The 25,974-nt window shown below is 34.0% G+C and overlaps 1 protein-coding gene across 15 annotated transcripts in view; it reads right to left on the bottom strand.

The window, feature by feature from the left end:
• Positions 1-25,974, bottom strand: part of STXBP5L (syntaxin binding protein 5L) — a 516,557-nt gene that overhangs the window by 143,132 nt on the left and 347,451 nt on the right. For 13 of the 15 annotated variants that reach the window (NR_145516.2, XR_924217.3, XR_001740373.2 and 10 more), the window contains 3 exons: positions 24,297-24,469; positions 22,462-22,587; positions 1,674-1,825 (listed from right to left, as the gene is read on the bottom strand). Coding sequence is in view for 12 of the 15 variants with exons in the window: in NM_014980.3 (NP_055795.1) it covers positions 1,674-1,825; positions 22,462-22,587; positions 24,297-24,469 (451 nt within the window). In the remaining 3 variants the exon portion in view is untranslated. Of the gene's footprint in view, positions 1-1,673; positions 1,826-21,115; positions 21,612-22,461; positions 22,588-24,296; positions 24,470-25,974 lie in introns of those variants that run through there. The other 2 variants (XM_011513333.4, XM_017007535.3) reach the window with 1 other exon arrangement.

Here is a 25,974-nt window from a genome sequence, read left to right as displayed (position 1 = left end):
TTTGCCCCACTGTGTATATCCAGCAAGTGATTTAGATATTGTCATAGGATTCACAGCTTTTCTGATTATATTGGTGCTTTTAGCATTGCAAACTGAACACCTGAAATATGGTTATTATGACTGAGGAACTAAATTTTTAATTATAAATAGCCTACTGCCCCCTAACACCTTTCTATCCTAGAGTCCATCAACTTCAAACTTGTCTTTCCTAATCATGAGGAAACCTCACGTTATGTGAATGTACAGTTGCTTGTTATTTTGTCTTCCTTTCAAAATCTGGTAGTGATAGAGGCAAAATCTCCAGAAACTGAAATTTCTAGCTCTCCTAAAATATTGCTAAAAGTTGAGATCCCTCACTAAAAACCCTTGGTTTCTGAAAGAGAAATTTTGTGCCCCTCAAAAGGGTCTAAACTGGTAATTCAGAAATCATTGAGTTTTGCAAAAGAAAGGTTAACAAGAAGAGTTTCAGTATAACAAGTTTCATTAGTCCAAAAAGGAAATTCATTTATTATCACATTTGGATGTTAAATTTGACATATCTGCCACTTGGAAAATAACACCTACCATCATGTACCTTTTTTATTTTTTATTATATTTTCCTATGGTCATATTTAGTAATATCATCAATATTCAATAAATTATTTTAAATAATACAATGTAGAAATTTTATTTTATTTACTTATTAAAAAATTTAAAAAGTTATTATTATTATTATTATTAGAGATGGGGTCACACTATGTTACGTAGACTGGTCTTGAATTACTGGCCTCAAGAAATCCTCTCACCTCGGCCTCCCAAAGTACTGGAATTACAAGCATAAGCCACCATATCTGGCCCAAAGTAGAAGACTTTAAAGGACTGTCTAAAATAACACTTAATATTATAGAAGCATTTTCATCTGCAACCTTTTGGCCTAATTTTCTTTTACCAACTGGACTGTCAATGGACAGAAAATATGCAAAACTTTGGCAGTGTTTATAAAGCCAACTATTTGGATATATACTAAAATTTCAGTAAAACTTTGGATAATTGGCATATCAAAGTTTGGCATTAAATCCTAATTACCTTAAGTTTATTTTCTTTTATAGTTAAATACATCGATTTATTGATCCTTCCAAGAAAAATGCCATCTGTCATAGTACTTTAAAAATGTTAATGAAAAATGTTTATTGAATTGTGAAAATACCTTCAGGAAGGTCATCATCCAACAAGGAAAGGAGTCAGCTACAATATGGAATTAATTTAAAAAATTAAAAGTAGTAAATGACCTAAAATTATCTCTTTAAAGGGACCAGATATTTTAGAAGAAAGTTAACCTGTTTGACACAACCATTGCAAGCAGTTTTTTTCAACTACAGAGCCCTAATTTTCATAGCATTTTTACATTTAATAGCTTCTTATTTTCTGTTATTTCTTAGGAATTAAACCTAAGAAAGTTGAGATGCTTCCTAACTTCAATAGCAAATTGAAGTTTAAACATACACACCCCTGACCCTTTCAAAGATTCTCACAATGTTTCTGCCCAATTTATTTTACTTACATGATTTTGTAAATTATGTTGATTTTATTTTGCCATGCATTTGAATAGTATCAGAGAAGAAAGACAAGAAATCTAAAAATAAGAACACAGATGACCAAATCAAGTTCATAACTCATCTTGTTTTATCTCCTACCTGCAATGAACTGTTTGTTTTTTCGAGGAGACCGTGGTTGTCGCTGGTATAAGTCACTTGATCTATATAGGTCAATGGTCCCCATGCTTAACAGTACTGTCTTCTGTATAAAATCCACCACAGCCAACCCATTGCAGTTCCCAAATGCAACTCTAAGAGAGAAAAAAAATACAACTAGAATGTATCACAACAAGCATGATTATTTTTATCTTCAAATCAATCATAGGATTATTGAAAAGTAATGTCTTAGGGTTGGGGAAGTTGGGCAGTGATTTGTGTAAAGTCAAGAAGGATGCCTTGCCTTTATGATGGATAAACTGTCTTCGTATAATAGGCATACAATTTACCACAAAAAAAGGATGATCGGCAATTATATTTTGCCAGCAGTTTTATCATGTAAGTCGTGATTACCCAATCCGCTCTTTAAACTAGGCCTTATGTTTTCACAGAAGAATCACACAAAACCTTTTTGCTATGCAAGGGGGAGATAGGTTAAGAAATGTCACTAGCTAAAGATGCTTACGTATGTAATTAGATGCCTTTTTCAAATAAAATTATAACTACTAGACTCCAAATTAATTATCTTCTGAAAGAGAGAAAAATAAAAATTAACTTCATATATCAAAGGCATTGACACTATATTAGAAATGAGGAGATACAAAAAGTTAAATGTTTCTTACTTTTGTGCTCTTTATTTTGTGCCCCTTTCAAAAGATAAAGAGACCATTTGATTAATTACTTAACTAAATCTCCTGAGAAATTTAAAAAAGACAGCTCTTCTAAGTAGGCATTTTGATTATCTTAACCATTAGGCATACATTAACTCTTATTTTTCTCCATTTACAATATGTCCTCTAGCTGAACAATTCTGTCGGTACTTTTTGCTTCATAAACTATTAAACATTAGTTATATGAATGTTGTTTTGCTTGTTTTATGTACGTTCCATGTTGTATTATTTAGATTGAATCTTGTTTACAAACCATCTGCTTACTCTTAAAATGGTTCTTTCCACTTCACTACACAAGTTAAAACACAACAACAACAACACTTCTACCCATACTAGATGTTTTGCTAATTCACATAGAGCTCTACATCTTCCAGTAAGACAAACTTTGGAAACTGAAAAAAAGTATTGTTATACTGGTCAGATCTGGGTTTAATTCTCATCTCTATCACTTACAGGATATGTGACTTTGAGAAAAATTAATGAATCTTGCTTGGCCTTAGCTTCTTTATAATGATAATTACACTTCTACATTTATCTGGTTCACAGAGCTTTTATGAGTATCAAGTCAGAAAATTATTTTTAAAGTACATTGAAATTTTTCCATGCAAAAAGAATTGATCTTAATATTATAAATAAATGCAATATTATACATGTTACCAGTTATAACAAATTAGTATCCTTAAACTTTTTATGTTAAAATATAGCAAATTACTTCTGCTTACAGACACGATAGAGTTTCTAAATGCAATAATGACTGAAAAAATGTAGGCAACTAGGATGCATGACATTCTATATACCATAAATAATTATTTTTGTCTTGGAATTAAAAATAAGAATACTGAGAAGTTATAGCTTAGGGCTGGGGAAGTCAGGCAGTAGTTGTCAGAAAGTTGGTAAAGAGAAAAGATTTAATCTCCTATTTTAAATTACTAGAAAAGTGGGCAAAAATATATTAAACAACAGTTTTCACATATTGGTCAACAGGCAACATAGAATAAGATGAGAGAAGGATAGCAACCAAGGTAATACATTTCACAAATGTTCTGTGTTAGTGACTGAAGATAGTTCCCAGGCTTGGGCACAGGAAACTAGAACTCAAAGAGAGATTGATGGTCTCATTTAGTTGAGGAGGCAGAGATGAGAGACTGAGACTACAAAAACAGCTACAACTAATAAGGCAAAATAAACTGCACAGAGAGAGAATACCAGAGATTTGCAGAAAGATGTCCTTGAGACTTCGGCTGTGTACTAATCTGTGCATCCATGTGCAGAAGCTACTCAAGACCTATAAAAGAGCCACCAAAAAGATAAGGCAGAACAATTCCCAGAGCTCACACAAGGCTAAGAATATTTTATGCTACTACCAATGAAACTGCAGAGCTCTCCTAATACATGGAACAGCAGATATAGGAGTGTCACTTCAGCAGTGAGACAAATTAGCTACAGATTCCAAGTAACTTAATTTCATTCCAGGAAAAAGTTGAACACTACTAAAAAAAGGCACAAAATACCACCAAAAACGTAAAATTCACAATATCTAGTATATAAAAAGTAGCAGGCATATAAAGAATCAGGAAAATATGATAACCAGAGGAAAAAATAGCTCAATAGAAACATATCCAGAAATGAAAGAGATGATAAAACTAGCAGATGGAAAATAATGAAAGTGCTTTTCAAAGCATATTACAGATAATCAAGAAGGTTGAGGAAAATACAAATGTGACAAAGGAAGGAATGGAAGACATAAAAAAGCCTTAGAGATATAAATGTATATGAAATTTAAACATTATCTGCACATTAGACATTATAGTAGAAAAGAATAGAGAATGCTATCCTCTGAATGTTTGTGTTTTCCCAAAATTAATACGTTAAAACTTAACCCCCAAGATGATTGTATTAAGAGGTGGGAACTTTGGAAGGTGACTAGGTCATGAAAATGGAGCTCTCATGGATAAAATTAGAGCCCTTATAAAAGAGGCCCTAGAGAGCTGCCTCACCCCTTCCATTATGTGACGATGAATTTAGAAGGTACTATCTATAAGGAACAGGTTCTCACCAGACATCAAATCTACTGGTGCCTTGATATTAGACTTCTCAGCCTTCAGAATTGTGAGAAATAAATTTCTGTTGTTTATAAGCTACCCAATTTATAGTATATTTGTTTACAACATCCCAGACTAAGACAGTAAACTTGAAGAAATAACAGAAATTACCTAAAATGAAATGAGATCTTTAAAACTTTAAAAAACAAAACTCCATAATTGGAGTTTCATAAAGGAAGAACAAAAGAAAACATATTTGAAAAAATGATAGCCAATTTATATAAATGACAGACAAAATTTGAAGACAGTAATAAGCCTGCAGATAATAGAAACTTAAAGATCCCAAGCAGAATAAGAATGAAGAAAAACAAAAAGGCATCATAATCATATTGCTGAAAACAACTAATAACAAAGAGAAAATGTTAAAAGCTGGCAGATAAAAAAATTTATTACATGTAAAAATTAAAATGATAAAATCATTAAAAAAATTAGATGAAACTATACAAACCAAAAGATGATGGAGTGGCATCTTTGCAGTAAGAAATAAAAATAATGTCAACCTAAAATTGTATACCCAGCAAATACATCTTTCAAGCAGTGGAAAAGAATTTTTGCAAAAAAACAAAAGCTGAAGGAATTCATCACTCACATAAATGGGTTACAAAAATAATAAGGGAAATCTTAGACAGAAAAAAATGATTCCAGATGGAAATATGGATCTCCACTATATAATGAAGAGCAACAAAAATGTTAAATATGAAAATTAATATTAAAGACTTTTCTCATTTCTTTAAAGGATAATTGACTAAAGTAAAATTAATAACAATGTATTATGCGGTTTATAACATATGGAAGTAAATTTATGACAATAATGCAAAAAACAGGAGGATAAATAGAAGCATGCTGTTGTAAAGTTATTAAAATATATGAAAAGTGGTATCATTCCATTTATTTATCTACTTATTTGATAATTCAAAGATACATATTGTAAGCCTGAGAACAAAAAACTAAAAGAAGTATATCTAATAAATCAATAATGAAGTTAAAATAGAATCATTAAAAGATATGCAATCTTTCCCTGAGAAGAAGGCAGAGAAAAAGAAGAAAAAAAAAAGGGGGAGTGGGGGGACAAAGAGAAAAACAAATTAGAAAATGTTTGGCTTAAGCCCAATCACATAGATAAGTATATTAATGTAAATGACTGAAACACTCCAATTATGGGCAGAGATTGCCTGAGTGGATAAAAAGTAAGACCCAACTATATGGTGCCTACAACAAATCCACTTTAAATATAAAGCGAAATGATGGAAAACATTTACAATGAAAACACTAATTTAAAAAATGCTGAAACGACTATACTAATATAGACAAAGTCTATTTCAGAAAAAGGAAATTTTGAGAGATATATAGGGAGAATGATTAAGGAATCAATTTCTTAAGAAGATATAGCAATCCTAAATGTGGATTCATCTTATAATAAAGCTTCAAAATTCATGAAAACCAATAGAACTGAAAGGGAAAATAGACAAATCTACAATTAAGGTGTAGTATGCAAACATTCCTCTTTTAATAACTGATAGAATAATCAGAGAAAACAAATCAGTAGGGATATAGAATTTGTAAGCGACACTGTGAACCTCCTTCACTGAACTAAAATTTATGGAACTCTTGAATCAACATTCATAGTGGCATTGCAATTATGAAATACATATGAATAAATTTAACAGCAAATGTGGAAAATCTGTACATTAAAAATTATAATTATTGTTGAGAGAAATTAAAGAAGACTTAAGTAAATTGAAAGATGTACCTTGCTTAATGGTTAGAAAATTCAATATTGTTACTTTTCCCCAAACTGATCTACAAATTCACAGCAATTTCAAACAAAATCCCAGCAGACTTCTTTTTTACTTAAGAAACTTAAAACATGATTGTAAAATATATAGAGAAGTATAATAGACCTAGAATAGCCCAAATTGTTCTGAAAAATAAGAAAGTTTGAGGATACAGACTATATAATCTTAAGACTTAATTAAAAGTACAGGAATCAAGACAGGCCGGTATTGGTATAAAGACAGACCTAGATATTGGTAGAACAGATGAGTACCTGGAAATAAACTCACACATACATGGTCAAATAATATTTGACAAAAGTGCTAAGAAACATATATAATCTTCAACAAATGATGATGAAGCAGTTGTATATTCATAAGTAAATAACTGACTGCTCTCTTACCTTGGGTTATAAGTCAGGGCTTTTACCTACTTTCACTGGGGCTTCAGACTACTGCTCTGCATCCTGCCCCTGTCGTGACCTGACAGGCCTCTGATACACCCTGTTGTCGCTGGACCCACGTTACTGCTATGTTCCATGCTATTACTATGTCTCATCACCCCTGGGACCAAGTCATCATGGCATTCCCCAAAGATGACACAGGTTCTCACTCTATAGGCAATCTGTATATGCCCAGGCCTCAGACATTGGTGTCAATGCCAAATAAAAAAAATGCACCTGTGCCCCAGGCACCACCTCAGTTACATGTGCCTCTGACCACAGAGCCCTGGCTTCATGGCTGCTCTGGGCACCTGCACCCAGAACCAGCATTGCTGACTGTGCACCAGTGGCCAGGATCCCAACACCACCACAGCTGCATGTGTGCCAGCACATCAGACTTAGTGCCAAGAGGAATCACTTTGGCTGGAACTTCCCTATGTGAGATAAAAGTTGAATAGGAGAAACTCAACAGCTTTCAATACTGAGGACCTTAACAGCCTTAACCACTACAGTTACTACAGACATCTGCAACTTTGGCTTCTGCCATGGATACCTGCAGTATTTGCCAACACTGACTTCGGCTGATTAAACTGCATTGAGACCATACCTGTGTCTTTCTTAAAACAGGAGATGTTGCACCCCATCCAGCTGGTGCCCTTGTAGCCATTCACAGCTGAAAGCATTTCCCCACTGTATCTACTTCAAAAAGACCAGATCAGGTGACTTGTTGCCTCAAATATACAAACATCAATGCAAGTTCACTAAAAACACAAAAAAGCAGGGAATGATAACACTGGCAAAGGAACACAATAGCTATCCAGGAACTGACCTCAACAAAATGGAGATCTATTAGTTATCTGAAAAATGATTCAAAATAATTATTTTTCAAATTCAAAATAATTATTTTAATTCTTTTAAGGAAGCTCAAGCTGAGCAAGACACAAGAGTAAACAGACAACTCAAGAAACAATGGAAAATAATACGTGAATAAAATTTAAAGTTCAACAAAAAGAAATCACAAAAAAGAACCAAGTAGAAATTCTGGAGCTAAAAGAATAATGAATGAAAGAAAAAATGCAGTAGAGAGCTCTGCTAGCCGACTTGATCAAGCAAAAGAAAAAATTTGAAAACTTGAAGACAGATCTTTTGAAATTATACTATCAGAGTACAAAAAATAGATAAGAATAGAAAAGAGGAAAGAAACCCTATAGAACACTGAAAATAACAAAAAACAGAAAAGAAACCCTTATTGAACACTATCAAGAGAACCAATAGTCACATTATGGGAGATTCAGAGGAAGAGAGAGAAAGGGACAGAGAGTACATTTAAAGAAATAATGGTTGAAAACTTTGATAACCTTGAGAGAAATATACATATCCAGATTTATGAAGTTCAAAGGTTCCCAAACAGATTCAATCCAAAAGACAGCTTCACACAGACACATTATAATCAAACTGCCAAACATTAAAAAAAATTGAAAGCAGTAAGAGAATAGTAACTTGTTACATACAAGGGAACAGTAATAGTGCTAACAGAACACTTCTCAGCAGAAACCATACAGCACCAGAGAATGGGATGATTTATTCAAAGCGCAAAAAGAAAAAAAAAAAACTGCCATCCAACAATACCGTATCTAGCAAAATTGTTCTTCAGAAATGAAGGAGAGATACTTTCACAGACAAACAAAAGTGATGATGAAGTTCATCACCACTAGACCTGTCTTACAAGAAATGCTAAAGGGATCTTAAATTAAGCTAACATGGAAGGGTGTTAATTAGTAACATGAAATCATATAAAAGCATAAAATATACTTATAAATGTAAATTTATAGTTAAATTCACAATATTGTAGTACTGAAATGATGGTGTATAAATCAACTTTAAGTCCAGTATAAAGGTCAAAAGACAAAAGTATTAAAAGTAACTATAGGTATAATATTTTGTTGTTTTGTTAATAAATTCACAATATAAAATATATATAAATATAAAATGTGTGCTGGAGGAGAGTGACAGGTAAAATGGTAGAGATTTTGAATGAAATTGAAGTTGAGTTGTTATCATTTCTAAATAGACTGTTATTAAGTATAAGATGTTCCACGTAAGCCTCATCGTAGTTGTAAAACAGAAACATAGTAGGTATATATGAGATAAAGAGAAAAGAATCAAAGCATATCACTACAGAAAATCAACAAAGCACAAGGGAACACAGCAAGCAAGAAAGGAAGGACAAAGAATCCATTAAAAATAACCAGAAAATAAAAATAGCATTGTAAATTTGTACCTACTAATCATTACTTTAAATGTAAATTGTTTAAATTCTCCAAACAAAAGGAAGAGTGGCTGAATGGATCAAAAATTAAGATCCAACTATATGCTGCCTACAAGAGATTAACTTTAGCCTTACACATAGGCTGAAAGTGAAGGGATGAACATGAATTTCTATAAAAATGGAAGCTAAAATAGAGCAGAGGTAGCTTAATTATATCAGAAGAGAACAGACTTTAAGTTAAAAACTGTCATAAGACAAAGAGGATCATTAAATAACAATAAAGAAGTCAATCCATCAAGAAGATATAACAACTATGAATACATATGTGCCCAATATCAGAATACCTAAATATGTAAAGCAAATATTAACACAACTGAAGGGAGATACAAATGGCAATTCAATAAAAGTAGGGCATTTCAACACTCTCACTTTCAACAATAGATACATTATCTAGACAAAAAATCAGTAAAGAAAATTGGACCTGAACTATATGTTAGTGCAGATGGATCTAACGGACACATACAGAATATTCCATTCAACAGCAGAAGAATACACATTCTTCTCCAGCACATGTGAGACATTCTTCAGAACAGATAACATGTTAGACCAAATCTTAGCTGATTGAAATCATATCAAGTACCTTTCCTGATCACAATAGTATAAAACTAGAAATCAATCACAGGAAGAAAATTTTAAAATGGACAAATATCTCCTGTTCCACCATAGTAAGATGTGCTTGCTTCCCCTTCACCTTCCACCATGATTGTAAGTTTCCTGAGGCCTCCCAGCTTTGCTTCCAGCACAGCCTGCAGAACTGTGAGTAAATTAAACCTCTTTTCTTCATAAATTACCCAATCTCAGACATGTCTTTAGAGTAGTTTGAGAATGGACTAATACAGTTTTAATTGATGCAGTAAAAGGATTTGACTGAATTCACAAGACATTCATGATAAAAAGATTTCTTAGAAGAATCCAAAAGCAAGAATATAAAAGAATAAATTGATAAGCTACTTCAAAATTATAACCTCTATATATCCTTTAAAATTGTATCTCATATATATCAAAAAGTGTTCAATGTTTGTTTTTTCTTAGCTTTGTATACTGATAGGGGCTAGAGGCAATGACAACAATAGAAATGAGCATCTATTGTGCCCAGACATTGTTTTCTAAATAACATTCTCCAGTAAAAGAAGACTAAGATAGCTGATTCCAGGGGTAGACTAAAGAATATACAAGATACATATTGAACATCACATTGTACTGGAAAATAACAAACTGCTAAAAAACGATGGGAACATATCAAAAGGACATAGAAGCCATTTTGATGGGGTTCCATATGGTCAAATCTGGAAGAATTAGAGCATCACAGGCACAAATGATAGAAACAGATCTTAACTCACTGAATAAAATGCAAATCTAAGATTTCATACTTATATAGTAAACAAGTAAATAAATGTTTATATAGGATAGGGAGTTATGGTCTCTTAATAGTAGAATCTAACTTATAAATATAGAAGGGTAACAGAGAATAACCAATGGATGCTAAATGTAATGGGTGAAAGTTTGATGAGTAAGAAGTTTAAAAACTTTCAAGTATCTCCCCACAAACTATTATCTATGAAGGGAAACAGCAACTTTATAGTGGAGAAACCTGGTAGATATCACCTTAACAAGCAATCAAAATTAGCACCACTAAAATTAGGACAATCCATGATCATGTACCTTCTGATAAGATAAACTGAGAAGACATTACCTTGTTTCTGTGGTATTCCTGCCAAAATGCTTAATTTACTCTCATCATGAGGAAATATCAGACAAACTCAGCTGAGGTACAGTTAACAATATAATTGGCTGTACTCTAAAAATATGAAGGTTAAAAAATAAATGCTGGGTCAGGCACAGTGGCTCACGCCTGTAATCTCAGCACTTTGGGAGGCCTAGGTGGGCGGATCACATGAGGTCAGGAGTTCAAGGCCAGCCTGGTCAACGTGGCAAAACACCATCTCTACTAAAAATACAAAAATTAGCTGGGTGTGGTGGTGCATGCCTGTAATCCTAGCTACTCAGGAGGCTGAGGCATGAGAATTGCCTGAACCCAGGAGGTGAAGGTTGCAGTTAGCTGAGATCGTGCCACTGTACTCCAGTCTGGGCAATAGAGCGAGACACCATCTAAAAAAAAAATGCTGAAGAACTGCCCCCGATTAAAGGAGACTAAGAAGAAATGAAAACTAAAAGCAATGCCAGATCCTGGATTTGATTCTGTTCTGTGAATAGACAATATAAATGACATTATTGGGACATATCTAGAAATTTAATATGGTATGTGAAGTAGAAAATAGTCCTGAATCAATGTTGAATTTCTTAATTTAAAAAATACACTATGCTTATGATGTAAAAAAAAAAAAAAAAAGCTCTTCTTCTTAGGAAACATACACTGAAAGAGTAAGACCAGTTTTCAGTTCTTAAATTTGTTATATTATCTTTCCAAGTTCAGAGCAAAACCCTCAATATGAGTGACTACTCATATTTTATCAAAAGCCCAATATCACAACATATCCAAAGGGGAACAAGACTGAATTTCAAAGGTTCTTACAAGAATTCTATTCCAGCAAAAAATTCTTAAACTGAAACGTGAGATATGCAATTTACTTCTAAACATAGACTCAAATGGCAAGTAACACAACTTAAGTCTAAGGATCTCACAGGCTAATATAAACAAACTGGCACAATTAATCCTAAATAATAATGTACAACTGGTCACATTACAATTGGTAGACCATTCTCCATTAGTACTTCACTGTACTGCACAGTCCTTTTAGTGAAGGCATTTACAGTTATGTTTGTATAAAGAGACATCCCAGAATAGTAAAGCTTAGGGGCATCTCCCTACTTTGAGACATTTCAGGGTAGTAGAGATAAAAAACCTCTCTTCTTCCCCAGAGAATATTTGCTTATGTTCCAGAGTAAAGATAAATGGGCAGTTCACCAGCAGACCTACATAAGATGTGAGTTTTTAAAACTTGGAGTTCCTCTTTTATTATGCACCCAGTTGCACATGCAAGTACCATCTGCCACTCACCATGTTCCCCTGTGGGCTCAGAGAACTGATGCAAGATCTTGCACTAAGCTGCTGCTTTTGCTGTCACTAATAAACTATCTTTGTTCTGACCCAGAGGACTATTTTCTGTCTATATATATATATACATATATATATATACACACACACACATATAATACTGTCGCAGACAAATTTACTATTTTCTAAGAGGGAAACATCTTAGACCCTTCACAGTTTCTGACTTAACAGTTGCCCCTTGATATGTTCTTCAAAAGAGTAAACAATTAATAGTGAATGGAATAGTAAGGCCACTGAGTTAACTAAAGTTAACCACATTAATCCTTGAAAATTATTTTCCTAGTTAGACTTCGGCCAACCAGGATTTAGAACATCAAGTGGTTTCCACATATTTCTTATAATAATCATGATTGTCTTATGCTTTTTTCCCCCCTTAATGTCTAATGTCCAGATACTGAAATGCTGCTACATAGGCATTGTAATGAGGTACTATATAACTAATAATCTGTTCTATAAAGAGACTGAGGCCCTCATGGTCAGTCAGCTTGGGGGTTGAGTTTGACCAAAAGGGTGAAATTGAGAAATTATAAGAAGAAGAATGATAAAGACCTGGTGTAATTCAGACAGGCATACTACTAAATGATAATGACATAAATAATACAGAAAATGTCTTCCATATATGTGCGACAAACTGAACAGCTAAAGCCTTTTGGAAAAGCTAGAAATAAATGAAATCAGTTTAGTTGATGATTCATACAGCTGTCCAAAAGCAAATACCCTGACTGGTCTTTTGGCCGGCTGCTAACTCATTAGCATCTCACAATGAAAAAAAAATAGAAAATTCATTGTTTAGAAAGTGGCCGTGGTTTTTCTCTCTCTGCTTTTCCCTTTTTATTATATATAAATGCTTTGTTTGCATTCATTAGATGAAATCAATCTATTACGCTTTAATGTGTATTCAAGTATATAATATGGTAATAATCAATATATATCTTTCAGTTATTCTTTTTTTATTATACTTTAAGTTCTGGGATACATGTACAGAATGTGCAGGTTTGTTACCTAGGTATACATGTGCCATGGGGGTTTGCTGCACCCATCAACCCATCATCTACATTAGGCACTTCTCCTAATGCTACCCCTCCCCTAGCACCCCATCCCCTGACAGGTCCCAGTGTGTGATGTTCCCCTCCCTGTGTCCATGTGTTCTCATTGCTCAGCTCCCACTTATGAGTGGGGACATGCAGTGTTTGGTTTTCTGTTCCTGTGTTAGTTTGCTGAGAATGGATTCCAGCTTCATCCATGTCCCTGCAAAGGACATGAACTCATACATTTTCATGGCTGCATAGTATTCCATGGTGTATATGTGCCACATTTTCTTTATCCAGTCTATCATTGAAGGGCATTTCGGTTGGTTACAAGTCTTTGCTATCGTGGACAGTGCTGCAATAAACACATGTGTGCATGTGTCTTTATAGCAGAATGATTTATAATCCTTTGGGTATATATCCAGTAATGGGATTGCTGGGTCAAATAATATTTCTGGTTTGAGATCCTTGAGGAATCGCCACAACTGTCTTCCCCAATGGTTGAACAAATTTACACTGCCACGAACAGTGTAAAAGCGTTCCTATTTCTCCAAATCCTCTCCAGCATCTGTTGTTTCCTGACTTTTTAATAATCACCATTCTAACTGGCGTGAGATAATATCTCATTGTGATTTTAATTTGCATTTCTCTAATGACCAGTGATGATGAGCTTTTTTTCATATATTTGTTGGCTGCATAAATGTCTTCTTTTGAGAAGTGTCTGTTCCTATCGTTTGCCAACTTTTTGATGGGGTTGTTTTTTTCTTGTAAATTTGTTAAAGTTCTTTGTAGATTCTAGATATTAGACCTTTGTCAGATGGATAGATTGCAAAAATTTTCACCCAGTGTGTAGGTTGCCTGGTCACTCCGATGATAGTTTCTTTTGCTGTGCAGAAGCTCTTTAGTTTAATTAGATCCCATTTGTCAATTTTGGCTTTGTTACCATTGCTTTTGATGTTTTAGTCATGAAGTCTTTGCCCATGCCTATGTCCTGAATGGTATTGCCTAGGTTTTCTTCTAGGGCTTTTATAGTTTCAGGTCTTATGTTTAAGTCTTTAATCCATCTTGTGCTAATTTTTGTATAAGGTCTAAGGAAAGGGTCTAATTTCAGTTTTCTGCATATGGCTAGCCAGATTTCCCAACACCATTTATTAAATAGGGAATTCTTTCACCATTGCTTGTTTTCGTCAGGTTTGTCAAAGATCAGATGGTTGTAAATGTGTGGTGTTATTTCTGAGAACTTGGTTCTGTTCCATTGGTCTATATATCTGTTTTAGTACCAGTATTATGCTGTTTTGGTTACTGTAGCCTTGTAGTATAGTTCGAAGTCAGGTAGCATGATGCCTCCAGCTTTGTTCTTTTTGCTTAGGATTATCTTAACTATACGGGCTCTCTTTTGGTTCCATATGAAATTTAAAGTACTTTTTTATAATTTTGTGAAGAAAGTCAATGGTAGCTTGATGGGGATAGCATTGAATCTATGAGCACGGAATGTTTTTCCATCTGTTTGTGTCCTCTCTTATTTCCTTGGGCAGTGGTTTGTAGTTCTCCTTGAAGAGGTCCTTCACATCCCTTCTAAGTGGTACTCCTAGGTATTTTATTCTCTTTGTAGCAACTGTGAATGAGAGTTCACTCTCTTTGTCTGTTGTTGTTGTATAGGAATTGTAGTGATTTTTGCACACTGATTTTGTATCCTGCCACTTTGTTGAAGTTGCTTATCAGCTTAAGGAGATTTGGGGCTGAGACGATAGGGTTTTCTAAATATACAATCATGTCATCTGCAAACAGAGACAATTTGACTTCCTCCCTTTTTATTTGAATACCCTTTATTTCTTTCTCTTGCCTGATTGCCCTGGCCAGAACTTCCAATATTAATGTTGAACAGGAGTGGTGAGAGACCGCATCCTTATCTTGTGTCAGTTTTCAAAGGGAATGCTCCCAGCTTGTGCCTATTGAGTATGATATTGGCTGTGGGTTTCTCATAAATAGCTCTTATTATTTTGAGATACGTTCCATCAATTACTAGTTTATTGAGAGTTTTTAGCCTGAAGGGCTGTTGAATTTTATCAAAGGTCTTTTCTACATCTATTGAGATAATCAAGTGGTTGTCATTGGTTCTGTTTATGTGATGGATTACGTTTATTGATTTGCACATGTTGAAGCAACCTTGCATCCCAGGTATGAGGCCAACTTGATCGTGGTGGATAAGCTTTTTGATGTCCTGCTGGATTCGGTTTGCCCGTATTTTATTGAGGATTTTCGCATCGATGTTCATCAGGGATATTGGTCTGACATTTTCTTTTTTTGTTGTGTCTCTGCCAGGTTTTGGTATCAGGGTGATGCTGGCCACATAAAATGAGTTAAGGAGGAATCCCTCTTTTTCTATTGTTTTGAATAGTTTCAGAAGAAATGGTACCAGCTCCTCTTTGTACCTCTGGTAGAATTCGGCTGTGAATCCACCTGCTCCTGGACATTTTTTGGTTGGTAGGCTATTAATTACTGCCTCAATTTTAGAACTTGTTATTGGTCTGTTCAGGGATTTGACTTTTTCCTGGTTTAGTCTTGCGAGGGTATATGAGTCCAGGAATTTATCCATTTCTTCTAGATTTTCTAGTTTATTATAAACTAGAAATACTAGTTTATAGTATTCTCTGATGGTAGCTTGTATTTCTGTGGGATTAGAGGTGATATCCCCTTTATCATTTTTTATTGTTCCTGTTTGATTCTTCTATCTTTTCTTCTTTATTCATCTGGCTAGTGGTCTATTTATTTTGTTAATCTTTTCAAAAAACCAGCTCCTGGATTCATTGATTTTCTGAAGGGTTTTCCATGTCTCTATCACCTTCAGTTCTGCTCTGATTTTAGTTATTTCTTTTCTTCTGCTAGCTTTTGAATATTTTTGCTCTTGCTTTTCTAGCTCTTTTTATTGTGATATTAGGGTGTCAATTTTAGATCTTTCCTGCTTTCTCTTGTAAGCATTTAGTGCTGTAAATGTCCCTCTAAACACTGCTTTAGCTGTGTCCCAGAGATTCTGGTACGTTGTGTCTGTTCTCATTGGTTTCAAAGAGCTTATTTATTTCTGTGTTAATTTCATTACTTACCCAGTAGTCATTTAGGAAAAGGTTGTTCAGTTTCCATGTAGTTGCATGGTTTTGAGTGAGTTTCTTAATCTTGAGTTCTAACTTGATTGCACTGTGGTCTGAGAGACTGTTTATTATGATTTCCGTTCTTTTGCACTTGCTGAGGAGTGTTTTACTTCCAATTATGTGGTCAATTTTAGAATAAGTGCATTGTGGTGCTGAGAAGAATGTATATTCATTGATGTGGGGTGGAGAGTTCTGTAGATGTTTATTAGGTCCACTTGTTCCAGAGCTGAGTTCAAGTCCAGAATATCCTTATTAATTTTCTGTCTTGTTGATTTGTCTAATATTGACAGTGGGGTGTAAAAGTCTCCCTATTATTGTGTGGGAGTCTGAGTTTCTTTGTCTGTCTCTAAGAACTTGCTTTATGAATCTGGGTACTTCTGTATTGGGTGCATATATATAGTTAGCTCTTCTTGCTACATTGATCCCTTTACTATTATGTAATGCCCTTGTTTGTCTTTTTTGATCTTTGGTTGTTTAAGGTCTGTTTTATCAGAGACTAAGATTGCAATCTTTTTTTTTTTTTTTTTGTGCTTTCCATTAGCTTGGTAAACATTCCTCCATCCCTTTATTTTGAGCCTATGTGTGTCTTTGCACATACAATGGGTCTCCTGAATATAGCACACCAATGGGTCTTGACTTTTTATCCAATTTGCCAGTCTGTGTCTTTTAATTGGGGCATTTAGCCCATTTACATTTAAGGTTAATATTGTTATGTGTAAATTTGATCCTGTCATTATGACGCTAGCTGGTTATTTTGCCTGTTAGTTGATGGCAGTTTCTTCTTAGTGTCGATGGTCTTTACAATTTGGTATGTTTTTGCAGTGGCTAGTACCGGTTTTTTCTTTCCAAAACTCCATGGGAGTTTTATGGGACTTACTTTGGAGTTATTTCCCCTTTCTTTTTTCCTAATTCTTCCTTTAGAATGGGTATGTTTACTTTGTGCTGATGTCACCATTGTATTTTGGAAACATATAACTTGTTTGATTTCATAAGCTCACAGTTGGAGAAGAATCTGCCTCAGCTTTCCTCAGGAGCTCTTGTAAGGCAGGCCTGGTGGGGACAAAATCTCTCAGCATTTGCTTGTCTGTAAAGGATTTTATTTCTCCTTTGCTTATGAAGCTTAGTTTGGCTAGATATGAAATTCTGAGTTGAAAATTCTTTTCTTTAAGAGTGTTGAATATTGGCCCCTACTCTCTTCTGGCTTGTAAGGTTTCTGCAGAGAGATCCTCTGTTAGTCTGATGGGCTTTCCCTTGTGGGTAACCTGACCTTTCTCTCTGGCTGCCCTTAACATGTTTTCCTTCATTTCAACCTTGGTGAATCTGACAAGTATGTGTCTTGTGGTTTCTCTCTCAAGGAGTATCTTTGTGATATTCTCTGTATTTCCTGAATTTGAATGTTGCCTGTCTTGCTAGGTTGGGGAAGTTCTCCTGGATAATATCCTGAAGAGTGTTTCCCAGCTTTGTTCCCTTCTCCCTGTTACTTTCAGGTACACCAATCAAACATAGGTTTGGTCTTTTCACATAGTCCCATATTTCTTGGAGGCTTTGTTCATTCCTTTTCATTCTTTTTGCTCTAATCCTTTCTTCACGCTTTATTTCATTAAGTTGATCTTCAATCTCTGATATCCTTTCTTCTACTTGATCAATTTGGCTATTTATACTTGTGTATGCTTCACGTGCTGTATTTTTCAGCTCCATCAGGTCATTTATCTTCTTCTCTAAACTGGTTATCTTACTTAGCTGTTCCTCTAACCTTTTCTCAAGGTTCTTAGCTTCCCTGCATTGGGTTAGAACATGCTCCTTTAGCTCAGAGGAGTTTGTTATTACCTGCCTTCTGAAGCCTACTTCTGTCAATTCGTCAAACTCATTCTCCATTCAGTTTTGTTCCCTTGCTGGTGAGGAATTGTGATGATTTAGAGGAGAAGAGGCTTTCTTGTTTTTGGAATTTTCATCGTTTTGTGCTGGTTTTTCCTCATGTTCGTGGATTCATCTACTTTTGGTCTTTGATGTTGGTGACCTTCAGATGGGGTTTTTGTGTGAATGTCCTTTTTGTTGATGTTGATGCTATTTTTTTCTGTTTGTTAGTTTTCCTTTTAATAGTCAGGTCCCTCTGCTGCAGGTCTGCTGGAGTTTGCTGGGTGGTCCACTCCAGAACCTGTTTGCCTGGGTATCACTAGTGGAGGCAGCAGAACAACAAAGATTGCTGCCTGTTCCTTCCTTGGAAGATTTGTCCCAGAGGGACACCCTCCAGATGCCAGCCAGAGCTCTCCTGTATGAGGTGTCTGTCGACCCATGCCAGCTAGTGTCTCCCAGTCAGGAGGCACATGGGTCAAGGATCCACTTGAGGAGGCAGTCTGTCCCTTAGCAGAGCTCAAGCGCTGTGCTGGGAGATCCACTTCTCTCTTCAGAGCCAGCAGGCAGGAACATTTAAGTCTGCTGAAACTGTGCCCACAGCCACCCCTTCCCCCAGGTGCTCTGTCCCAGGGAGATGGGAGTTTTATGGGACTTACTTTGGAGCTATTATCCCTTTCTTTTTTCCTAATTCTTCCTTTTAGAATGGGTATGTTTACCTTGTGCTGATCCCACCATTGTATTTTGGAAACATATAACTTGTTTGATTTCATAAGGTAACAGTTGGAGAAGAAACCTGCCTCAGAATGAATCATACCTTGAGTCTCACCCATATATGATTCAGGTGACTTTTTTTTTTGAGATGGAGTTTCACTCTGTCACCCAGGCTGGAGTGCAATGGCACAATCTCAACTCACTGCAACCTCTGCCTCCTGGATTCAAGCGATTCTCAGTATCCCTAGTAGCTGGGATTACAGGCACGTGCCATCACGCACAGCTAATTTTTACAATGTTAGTAGAGATGGGGTTTCACCATGTTTGCCAGGCTGGTCTCAAACTCCTGACCTCAGGTGATCCACCTGCCTTGGCCTCCCGAAGTGCTGGGATTACAGGCGTAAGCCACTACATCCAGCCCAGATGATATTTTGATGAGACTTTGAACGTTAAACTTTTGAGTTAATGCTAAAATGTTTTAAGACTTTTGGAGCTATTAGAATCAAAAGAATGTATTTTGCATATGAGAAAGACATAAATTTTGGGAAGCAAGGTCACAATGTTATGGTCTGAATTTTTGTGTTTCCCCAAATTCAGACCATCTAATCCTCAAGGTGATGGTATTAAGAGTTGGGGCCTTGGGAAGGTGACTGGGTCTTTGGGAGGATTCCGCCATTATGAATGGAATTCATTTTCTCATAAAAGAATTCTGAGGGAGTTTGTTCACTCCTTCTGCCAAGCGCAAACAAAGCTAGAAGGTGCTATATTTGAAGCAGAGAGCAAAGCAGAGAGACAGACACTGAATCTCCTGAGACCTTGATTTTGGACTTTCTAGCCTCCAGAACTGTGAGCAATAAATCTTAGTTGTTACAAATTACCAATTTGTAAGATATTTTGTTAAGCAGCCCAAATGGACTAAGAAACTTCTCTTATTTTTTCCTCAAAGACAAAGTCTCTAACATTTCACCATAGAGCATATTTGCTAAAATGTATCAGATTAAGAAAAATTCCTTCCATTTTAGCTATTAGTTTCTTTTGAAGTCATAAATGGATATTTAATTTTATCAGATGTTTTTGTTTTTTGCATTCCTGACCAGACCATCATATGGTTTTTCTAGTTTATTTGCTAATGTGATGAACTACACTGATTAATTTAAAATGTTTAAAAACTTTGAATTCCTGGTGTAAACCAAACTTGGTTATGATATGTTATCTTTTTTAATTGCTAGATTTATCTATATTTTGGTTGGGATTTTAAATCCATGTTCATAAATGATATAGACTTACAACTTTCTCTTTTTGTAATACCCTTTTCAAGTTTTTGCATCGAGTTATGTTGGCCATAAAATGAGATGAACATGATTTCATCTTTAATAATTCTCAGGAACATTTAAAGTAATACTTGTAAAATTTATTTCTTTAAAACTTGGTGGAATTTACTCTAGTAGCCACATGAACTAGGATTTTTGCAGTGGAGGCTCTCTATGAGATAGATGTCCAAGCTGTCATTTTCATACAAGTGTCAGTTATTCAGAAGCTCTGTAATAACTTTCACCTCCACAGTTCCCTTATAAGGGAAATGTGTTTTTTTATCTGATCTATTCTAACAAACTTCAGCTTCTGAACCAGGTGACACATCTTTATAGTCTCTGAATTCTGAAGTCCCCTTGTCTTTACAGGTCAAACTCTAGAGAAGTGAACTCAGAAGATGGCTTGAGCTCAACTATCTTTCACAGTAATTACTTGGGCTAGAGAATAATCATATATTCTTACCGTATCAAATAATGAAACAGTAGGCTATCCCACAGTCCATTCCTTCTCTCCCATCATCCATCAACTGTGGTTGCCAGCTTTCCCATCAAATAATATTCTAGTAAAGAAGCAAGCACCCAATACTCTATGTTCACATATATCCTCCACATCCCCCTGAAGAAAATTCCAGGTACTCAAAGATAAGACTTTTTTCCATGGACTCCTTACTGATGGTTTCAAGGCATTCTCTTGGAGCTTATAAGACTCAGCTTAGGAAGTACAGAAATAAAAGTGAAATATATAAGGTAATGTATTATTTGATAAAAGTTGATTCCAAATAAGCATAGAAAGATGAAGTATTCAGGAAACGGTATTGGCACAATTCTTAGCCATCAGGAAAAAATATAGTTTAATACTTACTTCATATCTTATACTTAAAAAAATTCCAGACAGATCAAAGATTTAAACATATAAAAGAAAAAAAGCATATTAGAGAGAACATAATTTTTTTGTTTTTATTAATTTTTATTATTATCTTGAAGTGAGGAAGGACTTTTTAAATAAGACACAAATTCAGAGCCATAAAAGATAACAAAAAATAGAATTGCAAAAAATTCTTTAAAGTAAGAACCATCTTAAACAAAGTCATAAAGCAAACAAAAGCAGGGAAGATCATTGCAAATTACACTATAGAGAAAGCTAACTTCCCTAATATGCAAACAGTTTTCACAAATCTCTATGAAGGCCAACAACTTTACAGACAAATGGACAAAGAATAGAAACAGAATGTCACAAAACAGGAAAAGATGTTCAATTTCACTTAAGATATACAAAAATTTTACTGATATTATAATAACATACTACTCTTTACTTAACAAACTGACCAGGATGGAAAGTTTGATTATACATTGTAGTTAGAAAGGTTGTAGGAAAGTAGACATTCTAAACATTGGTGGTGGGAGTATAGTTTGACACAACCTCTGTGGAGGGCTACAACCTAGAAATAAGGATTAACTGAAATTAAATTAGGCTTTAATGGGAATAAAATCCAACTTTCAAAGACCTGATGTCTGCTTGAATTATGTTGTTCTGACCCTTCAATAGTTTTTTAACCTAGACTGCCAGAGGAAATGTAGATACTTTCTGGAGGAAAGTATCATCTAGAACCTCAAATTATAATGTTCATTTCTCAATTAAAAAAAAAACCAGGAACAACTAATAAAAAAATCATACAAACTGGCATACATGAACATAATATAATGTGACCCAAAACTAAGAAATGTAATAGACTAGATACCAAATATGGAAGTATCAAACACATATTTAAAGTAACACATTTTAAAGTCATACATTCAATATGTTCAAAGAAATAAAGAATAGAGTGATAATTTAGGAAGAGAACAGGATGTTTTAAAATAATCAAATGTAAGGTCTAGAACTGAAAAATAAAATAGCTGAAATTGAACTCCATAGGTGGATCTACCATCAGATCAGACACAGTTGAAGAGGGAGTTAGTGAACTCTAAAGGATAAGTCAAAAGAAAGTATCCAAAATGAAATATAAAGAGAAAAAAAGACAATATAAAAACAAACAACACAGTTTAAGTGTAATAAAATCCTAACAATCTCCTACTAACATCAAAATTGGGAACACTATCACAGGTTTGACTTCAAGAAAGAACAAAAAACCATAATGTAAATTTAAATTATTTTTCTTATATATTGTTTAATCTAATAAAAATCCAGGTAAGGGCTTCTTTTCATTTTTAGGACTTAAGCAAGGAACATCTAAAAAATCAAACATATTAGCTAAATAATACATATCATAAAAAAGTTTAATTACTTACATTCCATATGCTGAGCTTACAGCAAGACTAGTAATCTGTTGTGGAGGTTCACCATCTACCCACACCAATTGAATAACAAGTTCTGCTTGATATCCTGGAGGCATTCGCACTGGCCGTGTCTTCACACTTTAAGAACAAAAACAATCCTATTATATACAGCTTAAATAAACATGGTCAAACTTATCTTGAGAATTTACATAGAATCATGCTACAGAAATATACAACACCAGGCATTGCAGGCAGCATGCAGATGGATGGTGCCTTCTAGTTTTCTCAAAATATGCTGAGTCCCTTATGATTACTTAGTTATTTCTTTATGTGGCTTTTCAGCCAGTTAGGTCCACAACTTCAACTGGCCTTTATCATTTCAATTTTTTCTTTTGAGAATATTATTTTAAGTTATTTTTATTATGTAATTATTTTTCTAATGTAATATATGTTACATATATATCAGTTATAAAGCATAACAATAAAACAAATGACCATTAACCTACCCTCCAGTGTAAGAGTTCAACATATCTAGCATCTGAATTCCTATTTTCCTTTAAAGCTGACTAATATCTTTCTCTCATACTTCCCAACAAACCAATTATCAAATACTACTGATGCTACTTTCAAAAAATATATCCACTAGCTAAAATTTTATGATGATGTTTTCTCTTTGTAGATTTTCCTCCCAGTAATATTTGCTCATATTTCCTTCTTTTTATGTACATCAAAAGAAAATTTTGAGAGGACAATCAATGATTACAAAAGTATAGCATCTGCTAATTGCATGAATTTTGCTCCTAAAATCTTATCTCTAAATTTTCCATAAGCATATTTGTAAGAAATGAGAAAACTAGCTGTCTAAAGTTTTTTGAGTGGCAAATGTAGATATGCAGCTCAAAGAAATTCCCTGCTTAGGTTTAATTCTCCAGCCAGCTAACACTAGAAATATTTGATTTGATGGTATAGAAGCAGTAAGTAGTAATTTATACTCTATTACTAAAATCATAAAATATTACTATGGGCTTTGTTAACTTTAGGTTTTATTGAACATGATGCAAATCTTTGTTTAGCTTATTAATAAATAGTTTTAAAAAAGAAAGATTATGAAATATACTAGCAATCATGAGAGAAATCCTTTTTTCTAATATAGAACTCTTGTAGTAGATAGTAAACTTGGTTTTCTTTTTGATTCCAAGAAAGCTAAAGAAATTACATAAACATACTTCTTTAAAAAATTATCATTATTATTTTTTTGGAGACAGGGTCTTACTGTCACCCAGGCTGGAGTGCAGTGGCAAGACCATAGCTCACTGCAACTTTAAACTCCTGAGCTAAAGTGATTGTCCCGCCTCAGCCTCCCTAGAAGCTGGAGCTACAGGTGTGTACCATCACACCCAGTTAATTTTTAAATTTTTTGTAGATACAAGGTCTTGCTATGTTGCCCAGGCTGCTCTCAAACTCCTAGTCTCAAGCATTCCTCCCACCTCAGCCTCCCAAAGTGTTGGGAATACAGGCGTGAGCCATCACACCCCATAAACATACTTTTTCAATTGGAAATATCATGCATGTCACCAAGTTTCTGCCCTGCCAAACTTCCTATTCTGTGAAAGCCATGTTTTCTTTAGAGTCCTTCTGGGAAGGAAATATATAAATAAGTGAATGAAGGGTGAAAATATTATGCCCTCTTCACAGATGTTCAAAGAAAAGACCAGAGTAACCCCTGAAGAATTGTAGATCACCTGACAATAGCTTGATAATAAGAGAAAATTAATTTCATTTGTCACAGTTTCAAAGACATATGATTAATATCTAAAATTGTTTGAAAATTTGGTAGAAACTCTTACTTGAGGCATGGAATACTGTCCTTTGTTACTCCTTCACTAGCAACAGTGTTAGTGCTCCCAGAAAGACTCCTTGAAGAAGGAAGCTGGGCTGAGAGATCTGGAAACGGAGGACTTGTTTCTGGTTCAGGGGTAATAATATCTTCAACATCATACTGAAGTCGTACCTCTAATGACTTAAAAAAATCAAGTTTAAATTTAATTTAAGTCACACTAATAATCATCGTTTTAATTTAATCTAAGTCATAATAAATAATCACATTAAAATACCTGATAACTTTTTAGGAATCATTCACACAGTTTTTTTCAAATTAATAAGTTCAATACTATTTACAGGAAAGTTGAGAAGTATCTCATACTAAATCAAATAGTTAATTATATGGAATATTCAATGGCAATCACAAAAAATGTAAATTTTTAAACTTCAGAATTAAAAGAAAAATACCTCAGTGAAGATAAAGTTTTTATATAATAAATATACTTTAAGATATAGTATAAATTACAATTTATATATTACAATTTGATATATGATAAAATAAAAGGAGAAGTTGATTATGGTTATTCCAATGAAAGAAATTAAACTTTTTTCATATACACACACAAACGTGTATATGTGTGTGTAGTGTGTATGTTTGTGTGTGTATGAAAAAATTACTTGTTTAAAGCCTTTTAGTATAAAAAACTTTCATTGCATTTTAACTTTGCATTAATTCACTAAAAATTTTCCAAACAAAATTCCATATTTTTGGTTGTTTATTTCATTACCTTGGCTTTTGTTTAATCTAATTAGCAGATCAGAATTACTTGATAAAAAACATATAATAATTTACATAGGAATAAAAAGGTGACCTAAAAACCTTTATTAAACTAAAAAAGTTTTAAAACTAAATACTTTATGAATGCATAAAATGCATTAAATGATTTAATTAGAACTGATTTTATAACACATATTTGCCTTATAATGTAAAAATGAGCATTTTTAAGATTGAAAACAATTACTTACAAAAATGTCATTATGGGAATATCACCAAAATTATTGTCATAATTATTTTAAAACTACAGAAAAACCTCTGGTGGTGACAAAACAGTTACCAATTATTGAGTGCTTACTACAGTAAGGACACTATTATAATGTCTTTATATAATCATCACAAGAACCCTATGAAATTGGTATTTATATTCCAAGTTTATTTTTATTTTCCATTTTCCCATTTTATTTACACAGGGAATTGTACATGTGATGAAACTGAATCATAGCTACATTCTACTACTGACTTATGGCTTGTTCAGAGTCACACAGATATTTAATGGGAAAGCCAGAATTAAAACCTAGGTTTATCTGACTCAAAGCCTTAGCTTTCAGCTACTATACAATAAAAGGGTGATATTAATTTTAGCTGTTGAGGTAAAAACACTTATACCCAGGCCTATAGTAAATAATCTTTATATTCTGGTAAAAGGGGCAAGGTAGAGAAGGACAGTTGTTTATAGGTGGCTTCATTTAGAATTAATTTATCCCATAAAATCATTATTCTTTTGAATAAGCAGAGTATTTCGTTGATTTAAAAATTAAGATTAGGTAAGGTTGCCCCATAATTAGATCTACCCCATAAAAATGTTGCTACATAGAAAATCATTAAAAATAACCTTATTGTAGCTGAGAAATAATTATTTATGTCAA

This window comes from Homo sapiens, chromosome 3, assembly GCF_000001405.40.
Source record: "Homo sapiens chromosome 3, GRCh38.p14 Primary Assembly".
Taxonomy (NCBI): Eukaryota; Metazoa; Chordata; class Mammalia; order Primates; family Hominidae; genus Homo; species Homo sapiens.
The sequence above is the reverse complement of the archived record's forward strand: the minus strand, read 5'-3'. Positions and strand labels throughout refer to the sequence as shown.